Source organism: Homo sapiens, chromosome 11 (assembly GCF_000001405.40).
Source record: "Homo sapiens chromosome 11, GRCh38.p14 Primary Assembly".
Classification (NCBI taxonomy): domain Eukaryota; kingdom Metazoa; phylum Chordata; class Mammalia; order Primates; family Hominidae; genus Homo; species Homo sapiens.
The window spans coordinates 106,781,998-106,798,794 of NC_000011.10; the positions used below are offsets into that span (position 1 = coordinate 106,781,998).

The 16,797-nt window shown below is 39.1% G+C and overlaps 1 protein-coding gene and 1 pseudogene across 2 annotated transcripts in view; both read right to left on the reverse strand.

Moving 5' to 3' along the window:
- The window catches only part of GUCY1A2 (guanylate cyclase 1 soluble subunit alpha 2), a 344,458-nt gene that overhangs the window by 107,979 nt on the left and 219,682 nt on the right, over window positions 1-16,797 (reverse strand). The window lies entirely within an intron of this gene.
- Window positions 1,416-2,481, reverse strand: LOC100418884 (TSPY like 1 pseudogene; annotated as a pseudogene).

Below are 16,797 nucleotides of genomic sequence, written 5' to 3' on the forward strand. Positions count from 1 at the left end.
TTCTTGGATATTTGGGCACAGATGGAAGAAAGAAGTCGGGGTGAGGGGGTCAGTATTGAGGATAAGATTAGCCAAAAAGAACAATGTACACAATTAGGCAATTAACCATCCCTGTTCCATGGGACTGGTGACCACCTCAGTCCTTCAATCTGACAGTCCTAGGTCTGTGCCTCTTTGAATTTTCTATGGGGCATAAGAGCAGAGGTTCAGAGTCTACATTACTGAACAATCTTCCCAGGACACAATCAAGAGAAGCAGCAAATTAGAAAGTCTGCTTTCCAGCCGTTTTGTGTTCTAGGGTGCTCTGGTGCCTTAAAAAGAGACAGAGAGAGAAGAGATATTGGAATAAGATGTAGGCAGACAGATATAGATAAACTTTAAAGATGAGAAATGCTTTCTTTTCTCTCTTAGTATCTCACAGAGCACCTGGACACCTCATCATGCTCAGGTGGGTGAAAGGGGACTGGTAAATGTCCCATATTCTTCATGGGCTTATTGGCTGTCACCAAGAATGCTTGGTTCTTAGAAAGGATGCCATATTTCCCTTGCTGAGAGAACTGGGCCACACCTGCCAGCCCAATCAGCTGACATTTGTTGTGGTTCCTGGGTGACAGGGAGGATGGGGCATAGTAGAGGGCTTCTCCAATGGTTGGCCAAGAGTCTGAGTCCATAAGCAGTTGTGGAAGTCTTTGGTGACTAGAAACTGAACAATGAGGTCAATGGCGGTCTGCACAAGAATATCCAAAAGGTTGGCCAGGAAACACAAACACACACACACAAAACCATAGCCCAGACTTTCATGGATACTTACTAGTAACAGAAGAGCAGGAAAAACTATGGTCTTGGGTACATTAAGAGGCCCTCTACTTTTTATCCTTCACTTCAGACATACACAGCAACTTGCCACTGTTTATGTCCCTGTGTTGCCAGATACTCAGTAGGGTGGCTGAAGTGAACTCTTAACCAAAGATGAAAATCTACGTGATTGTGGTCAAGCAAAGGTATTAGGTCCATGGAACGCCCATGGGACATACTCGAAGATAACCAGCTTGCCACCAGCCTTGAACCCAGCCTTTCGTTGTTCCTGAGGTTGCGGTTCTTAAAGATACACTGACCCTCTTTGAAGATAACTCATAAAGACCTACATCAAAGAGAGACAGGAAGGCCCTGACACAGACAAGGGTTCAAGCCATGTAGATGAAAGAATGCAGTTTTCACCATTTTCCTGGCTTAGACAAAGTGATGGGCATGTTCATAAAAGCCACATTCTTGAAGCTGGGAGCACTAAAAGTCCGGAGAAGCCAAGATGCAAGGAGGTCAGCACATAGACATCACTGTTGGCCAAGCACAGGTCCAACAATAGATGGCAGATGATCTGGAGCAGGGGCAACTTCCAAAAGTAGGAGTTGGCTACACTGATACCAGAACAGCCTGAGTATCTCCATGGGCTGCCCTGCTGAAGGTAACCTGGCTTTCCCTCCACATGACAGTTGGTATTTCAGGAGTTGGGCTAGAGATCCCTTTAAAAATAACAGCAATCTTATCAGGTTCTGGAAGGCTACAGTCTGAGGACCAGATGAAGAACCTATAGGTGATATCCTGCTCCTACAGGACTGGGGCATGGGATCCTTGCCATGTGACTGGAATGAAAGGAAATCCCACTTGTCCAGAGGATCTAACCCCATATTGTTTAATGATTACCTTGTTTCTGAAGTAGAGGTTTGTTCAAAAAAAGATTTTGAACATGTAGCATGTCGTTAGATGTCTGAACTCTTTACCTCTTAATTGAGATGGCCCTCAGCAAATCTGCACCTTGGCCCCTACGCATGACCTTGGGTGGGGGTGGTTTCAAAAGGTGGCATCCCAGAAGGGATATTTTTTGTTTGATGAATCTGTGGTCTCATCTCAGTGTCACCATATCCACCCAAACTTGGGCTCCAGCTGGAGGAAGCCCCTGTTAGCCTGTGCAGGTACTGTCTCCAGCTCCAGCCTTCAGAAAGTCCGTGGCATTCAGAGGCCAGGGCTTTGCCTCCTCCTTCATCTCTGTCACTTTATTTTCCTTCATCATTTCCTCTCTTCTCTACATGGATATCACTTCATCAACTCTTCTTCAACCTACATTTCTTCCTCCACCAGCATCTCTCCACCTTCTTTTCACCCACCACCTCCGCTGCTTTCCTCCCCTTTCCTGCTGTTATTGAGAAAATGGCACACTCCTCAGTTGTCACTTTTTTAGCCAACTCAACATACCAGCTATTGCCTGAGTCCCGGTGCCAGCCACAACCCTGTAGGTTATTCTCCCAGTATTTATGGGGGTTAAGAGGGCACTCCTTCCTGAAAGCAGGATGCTCACCAAGACTAGTGGTGCCAGTAGAAAACTAAGTCATCACAGGTGATGACTGGCAGGGTGGGGTAGCCTGAAAATTGCCATACCTCGGTCTCCCTAGCTCTAGAGGAGGGAGTGCCCCTGGTCCCAGTTGCTGGGACCAGAACAAGAGATAAACAAAACTGAGGAAAAAGGGGCTCCACCTCCCATAGGGAACAAAGAAGCAGCCTCTACCTCTTTGGCATCTGGGCATAAGCATAAGCATTTTAATCAGACATTATATTGTGATTCTACCTCCACATTTTAATTTTATCCTTCCCCATAAATGTGATTACCAAAAAGGAAAGTTATTAAGATTTTTTTTAGTTTCTGTAAGTAACCTTGTAGTCATTCAATATGAAGATCTGCATTATAGGATCTTATTTTATGATGCGAAAGATTAATATTCTAGCAATAATTTTTGTATATTAATGAGATTAATGTTGCAGAGGCTGGAGCTCCGTACTTGTCCTCCATGTGAAGTCATGGGTAATATCTACAGAACTAAGGTGTGATAAAGAGTCATTAAAGTAACCTCATAATACCTCTAACTTTCTATGGGCATTAATCTGTCATATGAAGAACTGAAAGTCCTCAGCTGGCATTGTCATTAACCTACACAGGCACTTCAGAGAGAAGAATCTGTGTACATAGGTACCCACTCCTTGCATAGGCTCAGGAAAATAAAAGGTCATCTCATCTCTTAATGCCCACCATCATTTTTAGATGTGGGTAGCTTTTTTCTCCAGTACAGCTTTAAATTCACAGTCTGATTCTCAGAGACCCTAACGGAGACGATGGATTGAAACTAGGCTTATTTACTCTTTCTAAAGGCCCCTGAAAGCCTCATGGATGCACATATTACTTTTAAAGGAGAAGATGCAAAGAGAAAAACCGTTTCCACTTCACTGAGTATACGACTTTTTCAGGGCACATCCCAAACAAAGCTGCAAACTAGGCAAAGTCTATCTCAGCACTCAGCCCTCAGGATTTTCAACTTTTCTTTCCTGATTTCTGGATCTGTAATTTTCTTTCTTTTTGTTTGGCAAGGGGGTATCTGTAACTTTCTTACAACCATACCTGATGGACAAATTTCTATCACTCTCACAGTATGTATCATGTTAATGTGTGTGTGTATGTTTATACTCCTCTCCGCCTACTAGATATTTACTTAACTTTATATCCCTGGACCTGAGTACAGTATCAGGATGCCCATAAGAGTTCTATTAAATGCTTTAAATTGCATTCAATTTCTACACTTAGGGGTCAGAAGTGGCCCTTAAGCAAGTTTTCAATTGCAAAATTCAGGACAACCTGCATAAGAATCACCCAGAAGGTATTTGTTAAAAATTAGATTCCCAGGCTCCACTTGGATTTACTGAATCAAAATATGGATATAAGGGCCAGCTATCTGCATTCACAAGCTTCAGTTGTTTTAAATGATTCCCAAAGTCTGAAGACTTCTGTATATGAAGTGAGTTAAAAATAGTACAATATTCACCCCGATATCCACCTTTTTTTTTTTTTAAAGAGCAGTGGCTTTCAGAAAGGAGAAAAGCACTTCTAACCTGACCCCAGCTATTCCCATGTACTCCTTCTCTGTTCTCCACTCCATCCATAGGGTAATAAACTTTTCCAGATATTTCCTTGTTTGTTGAAAGTGCAGACTACAACAACCAGTCCAAATGTGCACATGCACACACGTACACACCACACATGCTGAGAATCTGGCACAGTAGGCATTCAATGATCCAAAGAAAGTTTGTTGAGCTCAATTAAACACACCCAAGCTCATTGTACATAATGATTTAGCAATTCAAATGGAAACAGGTTTAAGGATTTACTGACAAGGCTACAAACAAAAACAAAAACAAAACAAAAACAAAACAGCCTCTTCATTCTTTCTTTAAAAAAAAATTTTTGTCTAATTACACTCATTTTGGTTGACATTTTTGACCCAAATACGGCTGCTTTTAAGGATGACTCTACACAGTGCTCAGCTGGTACAGTGTTGAAAAGGAGGTCATGGATATAAATAGAACAGTGATTTGGCCTGGGAACTACTCCCAAATGAAGGAAAATGGATTCCAAATGACTGTCTATCACAGAAAGCTCTCCTCCTGATAAAACTCTCAGTAGGTCTTTCAATGTGCATTCCAATTCCTGCACAGGAATGTCCATCGTGTGGAAAATACTGTTTCTACCTCCCAGGTTGTTTATCATAAAGGATATTGAATACTGAAGCATGTTAGGGAAGAGAAATACATTAAAATATCAAGTCAAAATTTCATTCTAAATCATTGTTAGATGTGGGCAATTCAAAATTTCTTTCTGACAGTCCTGTAAGATCTTCAACACTAGGGCTCCAGTTTCCCAGGTTCATCCACCTCTACCACTGTAATTGACTCCATGTTCCAATCAAAATGGGTAACTCAATGTTTTTTGCAAACTTTCTGTACCTCCCACCACCATATTAATACTCAATGTTATTATTCTACCTAGAGTTCATCCACTCACTCTTTAGAAAATAATATTGAGTCTATTATTTTTCAAGGATTTCTGATTTACCAGAACTTTAAATATATCCCCAGAGAATGGCAAATGTCTGCTATATTTTGAATAAACACATAAGGAGTGCTAAGTAATGTTAATTGATGTCACAAAAGTAAATCCTGTGACCCAATTTAGCATATCAAGTGAAAATATTAAGAATTCATTTTTTTAGTATTTTTTGTGTGGTGGTTTCTTTTTTATTAATTTTTTATTTTTAATTGTGGGTACACAGTATATATTATATATAATTATACTCTTAGTTATTTTTAAATGTACAATTAAATTATTTTTTACTATAGTCATCCTGTTGTGCCAGCAAATACTAGGTCTTATTCATTCTTTCTCTTTTTTGTACCCATTAACCATCCCCACTTCGCCATGACCACCCTACTACCATTCCCAGTGTCTAGTAACCACCCTTCTGCTGTCTATCTCCATGAATTCAATTTTTTACATTTTAGTTTCCACAAGTGAGAACGTGGGAAATTTGCCTTACTTTGTTTTTTTTTTTGCTTGAAAACTTTATTAAAATAAGGATTAAACCTGAAAAAAGAGCAATCAGAATGCCAGCCCTTAGCATAAAAGCAGCAAGAAAAAGGAAAGAGAGAAAGGGAGAGAGAAAGAGAGAAAGATAGAGAAAGAGAGAGAGACAGAGACAGAAGGAAAGAAAAAGGAAGGGAAGGGAAAAAGAGAAAGAGAGAACAAGAGAAAAAGAAGGAAGTTTGTCTTTCTGTGCCTGGCTTGTTTCAGTTAACCTAATGATTTCCAGGTCCATCCATCTTATCGCAAATGACAGGATCTCATTCTTTTTATGGCTGAATAGTACCCCATTGTGTATATGTACCACATTTTCTTTATTCATTTGTCTGTTGATGGACACTTAGGTTTCTTCCAAATCTTGGCTATTGTGAAGGGTACTACAATAAACATGGGAGTGCAGGTATCTCTTCCATATACTTACTTCCCTTCTTTTGGACATATACTTAAGAGTAGGATTGCTGGGTTGTATGGTAGCTCTATTTTTAGTTTTCTGAGGAACCTACAAACTATTCCCCATATTGGTTGTACTAATTTACATTCCCACCAACAATGTACAAGGGTTCCCTTTGCTCCAGATTTTCTCCAGTATTTATTATTACCTGTCTCTTGGGATAAAAGCCATTTTAACTGAGGTGAGATGCTATTGTATTGTACTTTTGATTTGCATTTCTCTGATGATCAAAGATATTAAGCATTTTTTCATATACCTGTTTGCCATTTCTCTTCTTGTGAGAAATATCTACTCAGACCTTTTGTCCATTTTAAAATCAGATTATTAGATTTTTTTTTTTCCTATTGAGTTGTTTGAGCTCCTTACATATTCTGGTTATTAATCTCTTGTTAGATGGGTAGTTTGCAAATATTTTCTCCCATTCTGTGGGTTGTCTCTTCACTTTGCTAATTGTTTCCTTTGCTGTGCAGAAGATTTTTAACTTGATGTGATCCCATTTGTCCATTTTCACTTTCATTGCCTGTGCTTGTGGGATGTTACTCAAGAAATCTGCCCACTCCAATGTCCTGAAGAGTTTCTCTAATGTTTTCTTTTAGTGGTTTCATAGTTTGAGGTCTTAGATTTAAGTCTTTAACCCATTTTAATTTGATTTTTCTATATGATGACATAGTGGTCTAGTTTCTTTCTTCTGCATATCCAGTTTTCCCAGCATATGCATATCCAGTTTTCCCAGCATCATTTATTGAAGAGACTGTCCTTTCCCAAATGTATGTTCTTGGCACCTTTGTCAAAATTGAGTTAACTATAGATGTATGGCTATATTCTGGGTTCTCTGTTCTGTTCCACTGGTCAATGTGTTGGTCTTTATGCCAGTACCACGTTATTTTGGTTACTATAGCTCTGTAGTATAATTTGAAGTCAGGTATTGTAATTCCTTGAGTTTTGTTCTTTTTGCTCTATAGTTTTAGCTATTCTGGGTCTTTTGTGATTCTGTATACATTTTAAGGTTATGTTTTATATTTCTGTGAAGAATGTCATTGGTATTTTGATAGGAATTGCATTGAATCTGTAGTTTGCTTTGGGTAGTATGGATGTTTTAACAATATTGATTCTTCCAATCCATCAACATGAAATATATTTCCATTTTTGGTGTCTTCTTCAAAACATGAAATATATTTCCATTTTTTGTGTCTTCTTCAATTTCTTGAATCAATGTTATATACCTTTCATTGTAGAGATCTTTCACTTATTTGGTCAAGTTCATTGCTAGGTATTTAATTTTATTCCTCTGACTGTGTATTTTCAAGTAGCTTGTCTTCAAGCTCACTAATTCTTTCTTCGGCTTGATCAATTCTGCTATTAAAGAGACTGATGCATTCTTCAGTATGTCAATTACATTTTTCAATTTTAGAATTTCTGCTTGAGGTTTTTAATTATTTCAATTTCTTTGTTAAATGTACCTGACAGAATTCTGAATTCCTTTTCTGTGTTATCTCAGATTTCTTAATTTCCTCAAAACAGCAATTTTCAGTTCTCTGTCTGAAAGGTCACATATCTCTGTTTCTCCAGGATTAGTCGCTGGTGCTTTATTTCGTTCATTTGGTGAAGTCACATTTTCCTGGATGATCTTGATGCTAGTTGATGTTCACTTGTGTCTGTGCATGAAGAGTTCAGAATTTATTGCAGTCTTCATAGTTTGGGCTTGTTTGTACTTGTCCTTCTTGGGAAGGCTTTCCAGGTATTTGAAAGGGCCTCGGTGTTGTGATCTAAGCCCTAGATCTAATGCCACCTGCATTAGCTCTGCACTGGGGGCACCCAAGCCCAGTAATGCTGTGGTTTTTACACACCCATAGAGGTACCACCTTGGTGGTCTTGGATAAGACCCAGAAGAATTATCTGGATTACCAGGCAGAGACTTTTTCTCTTCCCTTACTTTCTCCCAAACAATGGGAGTCTCTCTCTCTGTGCTGAGCCACCTGGGGCTTGGGATAGAGGGACACAAACAACCCTGTGGCCACCAACACTAGGACAGTGCTGGGTCAGACCTAAAGCCAGTACAACACTGGGTCTTGCTCAAGACCTGCTGTAACCACTGCCTAGCTACTGCCTTTGTTTTCTTAAGGCCCTTGGGCTCTAAAAGCAGCAGGTGGCAAAGTTAGCCAGGCTTGTATCCTTTGCTTCACTGCAGTGAGTTACCCCAAGGCCCAGAGATGCCATCTGATAGCTAAGGACTGGAATAAAAAAACTTGGAAGTCTACGTGGTTTTCTATTCTAGTGTGGTTGAGCTGGCCCTGAAACCATGATACACCTTCCTACTCTTCCCTCCCCTTTCCACAGGCAGAGGAGGCTCACCCTGTGGCCACCACCACCATAGGCCCACAGGGACATCAAACAGGCTACCGCTGATGTTCACTTAAGGCCCAAGGGCTCTTCAGTCCACTTGCGTGAATGCTGCCAGGCCTGGGGCTTATCCTTTGGGGCAATGGGCTGCCCTCTGGCCCAGGGCAGGTCCAGAAATGCTACACAAGAGCAAGGCCTAGAATCAGGAACCTCAATGGCCTACTTATTGCTCTACCTTACTGGGGCTGAGCTGGTACCTAAGGTGTAAGACAAAGGCCCTTTTACTTTCCCCTCTGCTTTTCTCAACCAGATGAAGTCGCTCACTGTAGCCTCCACAACTGAGATTGCTGAGTCTCACTTGAAGCCAGTGCATCTTAGAGTCTTGCTTAAGGCCCACAGAATAGTAGCTGGGTATCGCTGGTGGTTATTCAGGGCCCAAGGGCTCTTTAGGTGATGGGTCCAGCTAGGACTGGATCCTTCCCTTCAATACAGTAGGTTCCCCTTGTGGCCCATGGTGTGTCTAGAAATGTCTGGGAACTAGTGCCTGAAATGGGGGCCTCATGACTCTGACTGGTGCCCTATCCTACTGTGGCTGAGCTGGTATCCAAGATGCAAGACAAAGTCCTCTTTACTTTTCCCTCTCTTCTCCTTAAGCGAAAGGAAGAAGTCTCTTTTGGAGATGTAAGTTGCACTGCCTGGGGTTGAGGGAGGGGTGCTGCAAGCATTCCCTTAGCTGCCCAAGTTGGTATCTCAGTAAGTTGTGTCTCCCACAAGTCCACTGGCTCCAGGCCCAGCTCAGCACTAAAACTTGCAGTACTTGTGGCCTGGACTGACTTTCAAGTTTATTTAAGACTCCAGAGCACTTTAGTCCATGGTGGCAAGGTTTGGCAGAACTCAAGTTCTGAACACTGGCATGGGTGATTCCCCTCTGCCTAGGGCTGGTCTAAATGCTCCCTCTGTGTGAGTGTCAGCTGAATTCAGCCTGGTTTTGCTTTCTGCTATGACAGGACAGCACTGAGTTCAATACAAAGTCTCACAATCACTGCAGTCTCCTTCTCTCCAGTGTACAAATTTCTCCATGCTTTGCAGCTACTACAGGGGGAATTGGGAAGGTATAGTGTCAACAATTGAGGACTGTCTTTCCCACAGTCTTCAGTGCCTCTTTCAGCGATATGAAGTTTAAATCAGATACTGTGAGTATTCACCTGATTCTGGTTCTTATGGAGGTATTTGTGTGTGTGTGTGTGTGCATGTGCACACGTGCTTGTTGAATTTGGTGTCCCTGTGAAGGAGACAGTCAGTGGAAACTTCTGTTCTTCCATCTTGATCCACCCCTCAATAATTCATTTTTTAAAGGAGACCATCTTAACCCATAAATCCTACAATTTTTATATATCTACGGAATTACTATCTTTTATTTTCAGAATAAATATAGATTTAAAAAAGGCCTCCCCTAGTCCCTCTTCCAGAAGTCAAATTTGTCACATGCTTCCAAGTCCACCTCTCATGCCACATCTTTTCTGAAAGTATCCCCAGTCCTCAGCAGAATAATACATTTGATTCCTTTAGAACACCAATAAAATTTGGTTTTTATATATCTTATACTAAACTCATTTACGTTTCATACCAGAAGAGCTGGTACCATTCCTACTAAAACTATTCCAAAAAATTGAGGAGGGACTCCTCCCTAACTCATTCTGTAAGGGCAGCATCATCCTGATACCAAAACCTGGCAGAGATACAATAAAAAAAGAAAAAAAACTTAGGGCCAGCATCCTTGATGAACACTGATGCAAAATTCTTCAACAAAATACTGGCAAACTGAATCCAGCAACAAATCAAAAAGCTTACCCACTAACAGCCGGGCGTGGTGGCTCACGTCTGTAATCCCAGCACTTTGAGAGGCTAAGGCAGGCAGATCACGAGGTCAGGAGTTCGAGACCAGCTTGGCCAACATAGTGAAACCCCATCTCTACTAAAAATACAAAAATTAGCCAGGCTCAGTGGTGGGTGCCTGTAATCCCAGCTACTGGGGAGGCTGAGGCAGGACAATCACTTGAATCCAGGAGGCAGAGGTTGGAGTGAGCTGAGATCACACCATTGCACTCCAGCCTGGGCAACAGAGTGAGACTCCATCTCAAAAAAAAAAAAAAAAAAAGCTTACCCACTATCATCAAGTAGGCATTATCCCTGGGTTGCAAGGTTAGTTCAACATACACAAATCAATAAATGTGATTCATCACAAAAACAGAACTAAAGACAAAAACCACATGATTATCTCAAGAGATGCAGAAAAAGGCTTTCAATAAAATTCAACATCCATTCATGTTAAAAACTCCCAATAAAATAGGTATTGAAGGAACATACCTCAAAATAATAAGCATCACAAATGACAAGCCCAAAGCCAATATCATACTGAATGGGCAAAAGCTGGAAGCATTCTCCTTGAAAAGCAGCAGAAGACAAGGATGCCTTCTCTTGCCTATCCTATTCAACACAGTATTGAAAAAGAAATTAAGAAAATGATCCCACTTAAAGTAGCAACAAAAAGAATAAACTACTTAAAATTAATTTCATCAAGGATGTGAATGATGTGTACATTGAAAACTATAATATATTGATTAAAGAAATTGAAGACACATCAGTGGAAAAATATCTGTTCATGGAATGGAAAAATTAATATTGTAAAAATGTCCATAAAACCCGAAGTGATTACAGATTCAATGCAATCTCTATCAATATTCCAATGCAATCCCTATCAAAATTCACAGAAATAGAAAAAAAATCCTAAAATTCATATATAACTACAATATCCAAAATAATCTTGAGAATGAAGAACAAAGCTGGAGCCGTCAGATTTCCTGATTTCAAACTAATCACTACAGAATCGTAATGAAAATAGTATGGTGATTGCATATAAACAGACACATACACCAATGGGACAGAATGAGATCCCAGAACTAAATCTACACAATCTTTTACAAGGGCACCAAGAAAACACAATGGAGGAAGAATCTTCTCTTCAATAAATTGGTTGGGCAGCTAGATAGGGTTGGGGAAATGAAATTAGATCCTTCTCTTATGACATACAGAAAAATCAACTCAAAATGGAATAAAGACACAAATGTGAGTCCCAAAACTGTAAAACTTTTAGCTAAAAACATAAGGACAAAGCTCTGTGACACTGGCCTTAGCAATGAGTTTTTTGGATACAACAACAACACAGTCAACAAAAGCAAAAATTAGCAAGTGGGATTACATCAGACTAAAAATATTCTGCATAGCAAAAAAAAAGCAATCAACATAATGAAAAAGGCAACCTACAGAAGGGGAGAAAATATTTGCAAATCACAGGTCTGATGAGGGGCTAATATCCAAAATATTCAAAGAACTCATACAACTCAATAGCAAAAACAACAAACAGCCCAATTTAAAAATGAACAAAGGACCTGAATAAACAGTTTTCAAGAGAATACCTAAAAATGGCCAAGAGGTATATGAAACAGCTCAAAATTAGTAATCATAAGGGAAGTACAAATTAAAGCCACAACGAGATATCACCTCACACCTGTTAGAATGATGATTATCAAAAGTCTGAGATAACAAATGCCAGTTAGTGTATGGAGAAAAGGGAACATTTGTACACAGTTTTTGAGGATGTAAATTGGGTCAGCTATTATGGAAAACACAATGGAGGTTCCTAAAAAATTAAAAGTAAAATTATAATTTTCAGCAACTCCACTTCTGGATACATATCCAAAGGAAATGAAATCAGGATTTTGAAGAGATATCTGCACTTCCATGTTCATTGCAGCATTATTCAAAATAGCCAAGATGTAACATCAACCTGTGTCTATCAACAGATAAATGAAGAAAATGTGATACACACACACACAGATGTATGTAAAGAAATATTCAGCCATAATAAAGAACAAAATCCTGCCATTTGTGGATGAATCTGGAGGACATTAAGCTAAGTGAAATAAGCCAGACACAGAAAGATAAATACTATATGATCTCACTTATGTGGAATCCAAATAACTCTCTGAGTTTCTCATATGAACAGAGAGTAGAATGGTGTTTGCCAAGGGGTGAGGGTGGAAGAAATGGGAAGATGTTAGTCAAATGGCAGAAATTTTCAGTTATAAAGACTACATTCTGGGGATCTACCATATAGCATGCTGACCATAGTAACTAATACTGTATTTTATACTTGAAATCTGCTGAGAGTAGATATTAAATGTCCTCACTACACACACACACACACACACAGAAACACAAAGGTAATTATGTCTGATAATAGATCAACTATGTATTAATTTGATTGTAATAATCATTATACAATCTATGCATATATCAAATTGTCACATTGTCAACCTTAAATTTATACTATTTTTATTTAATTATTAATATAACCCAAAAAAGCTGGATAAACACATAAAATCCAATAAATAAAATCCAAATCTAATAAAATAAATATCTCAATAGTGTTATTACCCAATGCCTAGATTAGCACTTAAACACAGTATGTGACTGATAATTATTTATTGAAAATGAAAGTAATGAATAAACATATAAAAAATTTAGCATGGTACCTAGCACATATTAGGCATTCAACTAATATCAGTCCCTGTCCCTTCTTTCATAGCAAATTCCTAAAGACATTCTCTCTGATCTTGGTCTTCTTTCATATGAATAACTCCAGATGGAGTCAATTGCTGATACTGTTGATTAATTTACAACAATTTTCCACATATATATCGTTATTTTGAATTATGAATAGACAAATTCCAAACAATCATTTGCTGAACAAGTTTTTTGTGTCAACTGCAACAAATATGTGAGACCTATAATACTGCTCCCATTTTATAGATGCAGAAGCTGAACACAGATAAGTTACGTGACTTACTCAGTTATGTGACAAAGATATAATTAAAATCAGGTTTTCAGACTTTATCTTCAATACCCTTTCCCCTACATTTAGCTACCATTGCACTGTCATAGGCAACTACAACAGTCCTCATCTGGGCTCTCTCTGATCGTCAAAGGACCTTATATTAAGCAGAGGGCTGAAATATGCCCGACTGGATATGAGGCGATGACACTAATTATGGAATTTGGTAAGGGAAAAAGAGAGAAGCACGAAGTTGCCCTTTGATGACAGCATAAAAAGCTATCCAATATTAAACTCTGACTATCACAGGAAAATATAACATTAAAAATGCTTTGGACAATCTTAAGAACAGCATTATCTTAATAGACAGCTTTCATAGACTCCAACACATGTGCACCTATGCATGTGCATGCCCTCCATCCCAACACATACTCACAGCTAAATCAGCAGTCTCACAGCGATTTTGTTTCAACTGATTTATCTTTTTCCAACTTGAAAGTCATGTTACCCATTTCAAAGCTTGAAAAATGCATCAAAACTTATTTATATCCATTTTAACCCAAATTTAAGATGACAGAGTTAAATTCTCATCTTTCCACTTTAAAAGATGTTTGCAAAAATAAACACAAATCATTTAAAACTTATTAATAGGGAGGCAGCAGCATTGATTTGCAGTTTGAAAACATTTTCCTAGCAAACTACATATAGCTCCAACACTAAGAATTTAGAATATTAGAATCTCATAGAATCTAATGTTGACAGTGGGGTGTTAAAATCTCCCACTATTATTGTGTGGGAGTCTAAGTCTCTTTGTAGGTCTGTAAGGACTTGCTTTATGAATCTGGGTGCTCCTGTATTGGGTGCATATATATTTAGGATAGTTAGCTCTTCTTGTTGAATTGATCCCTTTACCATTACGTAATGGCCTTCTTTGTCTCTTTTGATCTTTGTTGGTTTAAAGTCTGTTTTATCAGAGACTAGGATTGCAACTCCTGCCTTTTTTGTTTTCCATTTGCTTGGTAGCTCTTCCTCCATCCCTTTATTTTGAGCCTATGTGTGTCTCTGCACATGAGATGGGTCTCCTGAATACAGCACACTGATGGGTCTTGACTCTTTATCCAATTTGCCAGTCTGTGTCTTTTATTGGAGCATTTAGCCCATTTACATTTAAGGTTAATATTGTTATGTGTGAATTTGATCCTGTCATTATGAATTTAGCTGGTTATTTTGCTCGTTAGTTGCTGCAGTTTCTTCCTAGCATCGATGGTCTTTACAATTTGGCATGTTTTTGCAGTGGCTGGTAACAGCTGTTCCTTTCCATGTTTAGTGCTTCCTTCAGGATGTCTCAGCATTTGCTTGTCTGTAAAGGATTTTATTTCTCCTTCAGTTATGAAGCTTAGTTTGGCTGGATATGAAATTCTGGGTTGAAAATTCTTTTCTTTAAGAATGTTGAATATCGGCCCCCACTCTCTTCTGGCTTATAGAGTTTCTGCTGAGAGATCAGCTGTTAGTCTGATGGGCTTCCCTTTGTGGGTAACCCGACCTTTATCTCTGGCTGCCCTTAACATTTTTTCCTTCATTTCAACTTTGGTGAATCTGACAATTATGTGTTTTGGAGTTGCTCTTCTCAAGGAGTATCTTTGTGGTGCTCTCTGTATTTCCTGAATTTGAATGTTGGCCTGCCTTGCTAGGTTGGGGAAGTTCTCCTGGATAATAACCTGCAGAGTCTTTTCCAACGTGGTTCCATTCTTCCTGTCACTTTCAGGCACACCAATCAGACGTAGATTTGGTCTTTTCACATAGTCCCATATTTCTTGGAGGCTTTGTTCATTTCTTTTTACTCTTTTTTCTCTAAACTTCTCTTCTCGCTTCATTTCATTCATTTGATCTTCAATCACTGATACCCTTTCTTCCAGTTGATCAAATTGGCTACTGAAGCTTATGTGTTCATCACATAGTTCTCGTGCCATGGTTTTCTGCTCCATCGGGTCATTTAAGGACTTCTCTACAATGGTTATTCTAGTTAGCCATTCGTCTAATCTTTTTTCAAGGTTTTAACTTCTTTGCGATGTGTTCGAACTTCCTCCTTTAGCTCGGAGAAGTTTGATCGTCTGAAGCCTTCTTCTCTCAACTCATCAAAGTCATTCTCTGTCCAGCTTTGTTCCTTGCTGGAGAGGAGCTGCGTTCCTTTGGAGGGGGAGAGGCGCTCTGATCAACATTAGACAGATCAACGAGACAGAAAGTTAAAAAGGATATCCAGGAATTGAACTCAACTCTGCACCAAGTGGACCTAATAGACATCTACAGAACTCTACACCCCAAATCAACAAAATATACATTCTTCTCAGCACCACATCGCAGTTATTCCAAAACTAACCACATAGTTGGAAGTAAAGCACTCCTCAACAGAAATTATAACAAACTGTCTCTCAGACCACAGTGTAATCAAACTAGAACTCAGGATTAAGAAACTCACTCAAAACCACTCAACTACATGGAAACTGAACAACCTGCTCCTGAATGACTACTGGGTACATAATGAAATGAAGGCAAAAATAAAGATGTTCTTTGAAACCAGTGAGAACAAAGACACAACAAACCAGCATCTCTGGGACACATTCAAAGCAGTATGTGGAGGGAAATTTATAGCACTAAATGCCCACAAGAGAAAGCAGGAAAGATCTAAAATTGACACCCTACATCACAATGAAAAGAACTAGAGAAGCAAGAGCAAACACATTCAAAAGCTAGCAGAAGGCAAGAAATAACTAAAATCAGAGCAGAACTGAAGGAGATAGAGACACAAAAGACCCTTCAAAAAATCAATGAATCCAGGAGCTGGTTTTTTGAAAAGATTAACAAAATTGATAGACCACACAGCAAGACTAAAAAAGAAGAAAAGAAAGAAGAATCAAATAGACGCAATAATGATAAAGGGGATATCACCACCAATCCCACAGAAATACAAATTACCATCAGAGAATACTATAAACACCTCTACGCAAATAAACTAGAAAATCTAGAAGAAATGGATAAATTCCTGGACACATACACCCTCCCAAGACTAAACCAGGAAGAAGTTGAATCCCTGAATAGACCCATAACAGGGTCTGAAATTGAGGCAATCATTAATAGCCTACCAACCAAAAAAAGTCCAGGACCAGACGGATTCACAGCCGAATTCTACCAGAGGTACAAGGAGGAGCTGGTACCATTCCTTCTGAAACTATTCCAATCAAAAGAAAAAGAGGGAATCCTCCCTAACTCATTTTATGAGGCCAGCATCATCCTGATACCAAAGGCTGGCAAAAACACAACAAAAAAAGAGAATTTTAGACCAATATCCTTGATGAACATCAATGCAAAAATCCTCAATAAAATACTGGCAAACCAAATCCAGCAGCACATCAAAAAGCTTATCCACCATGATCAAGTGGGCTTCATCCCTGGGATGCAAGGCTGGCTCAACATATGCAAATCAATAAATGTAATCCAGCATATAAACAAAACCAAAGACAAAAACCACATGATTATCTCAATAGATGCAGAAAAGGCCTTTGACAAAATTCAACAGCCCTTCATGCTAAAAACTCTCAATAAATTAGGTATTGATGGGACGTATCTCAAAATAATAAGAGCTATTTATGACAAACC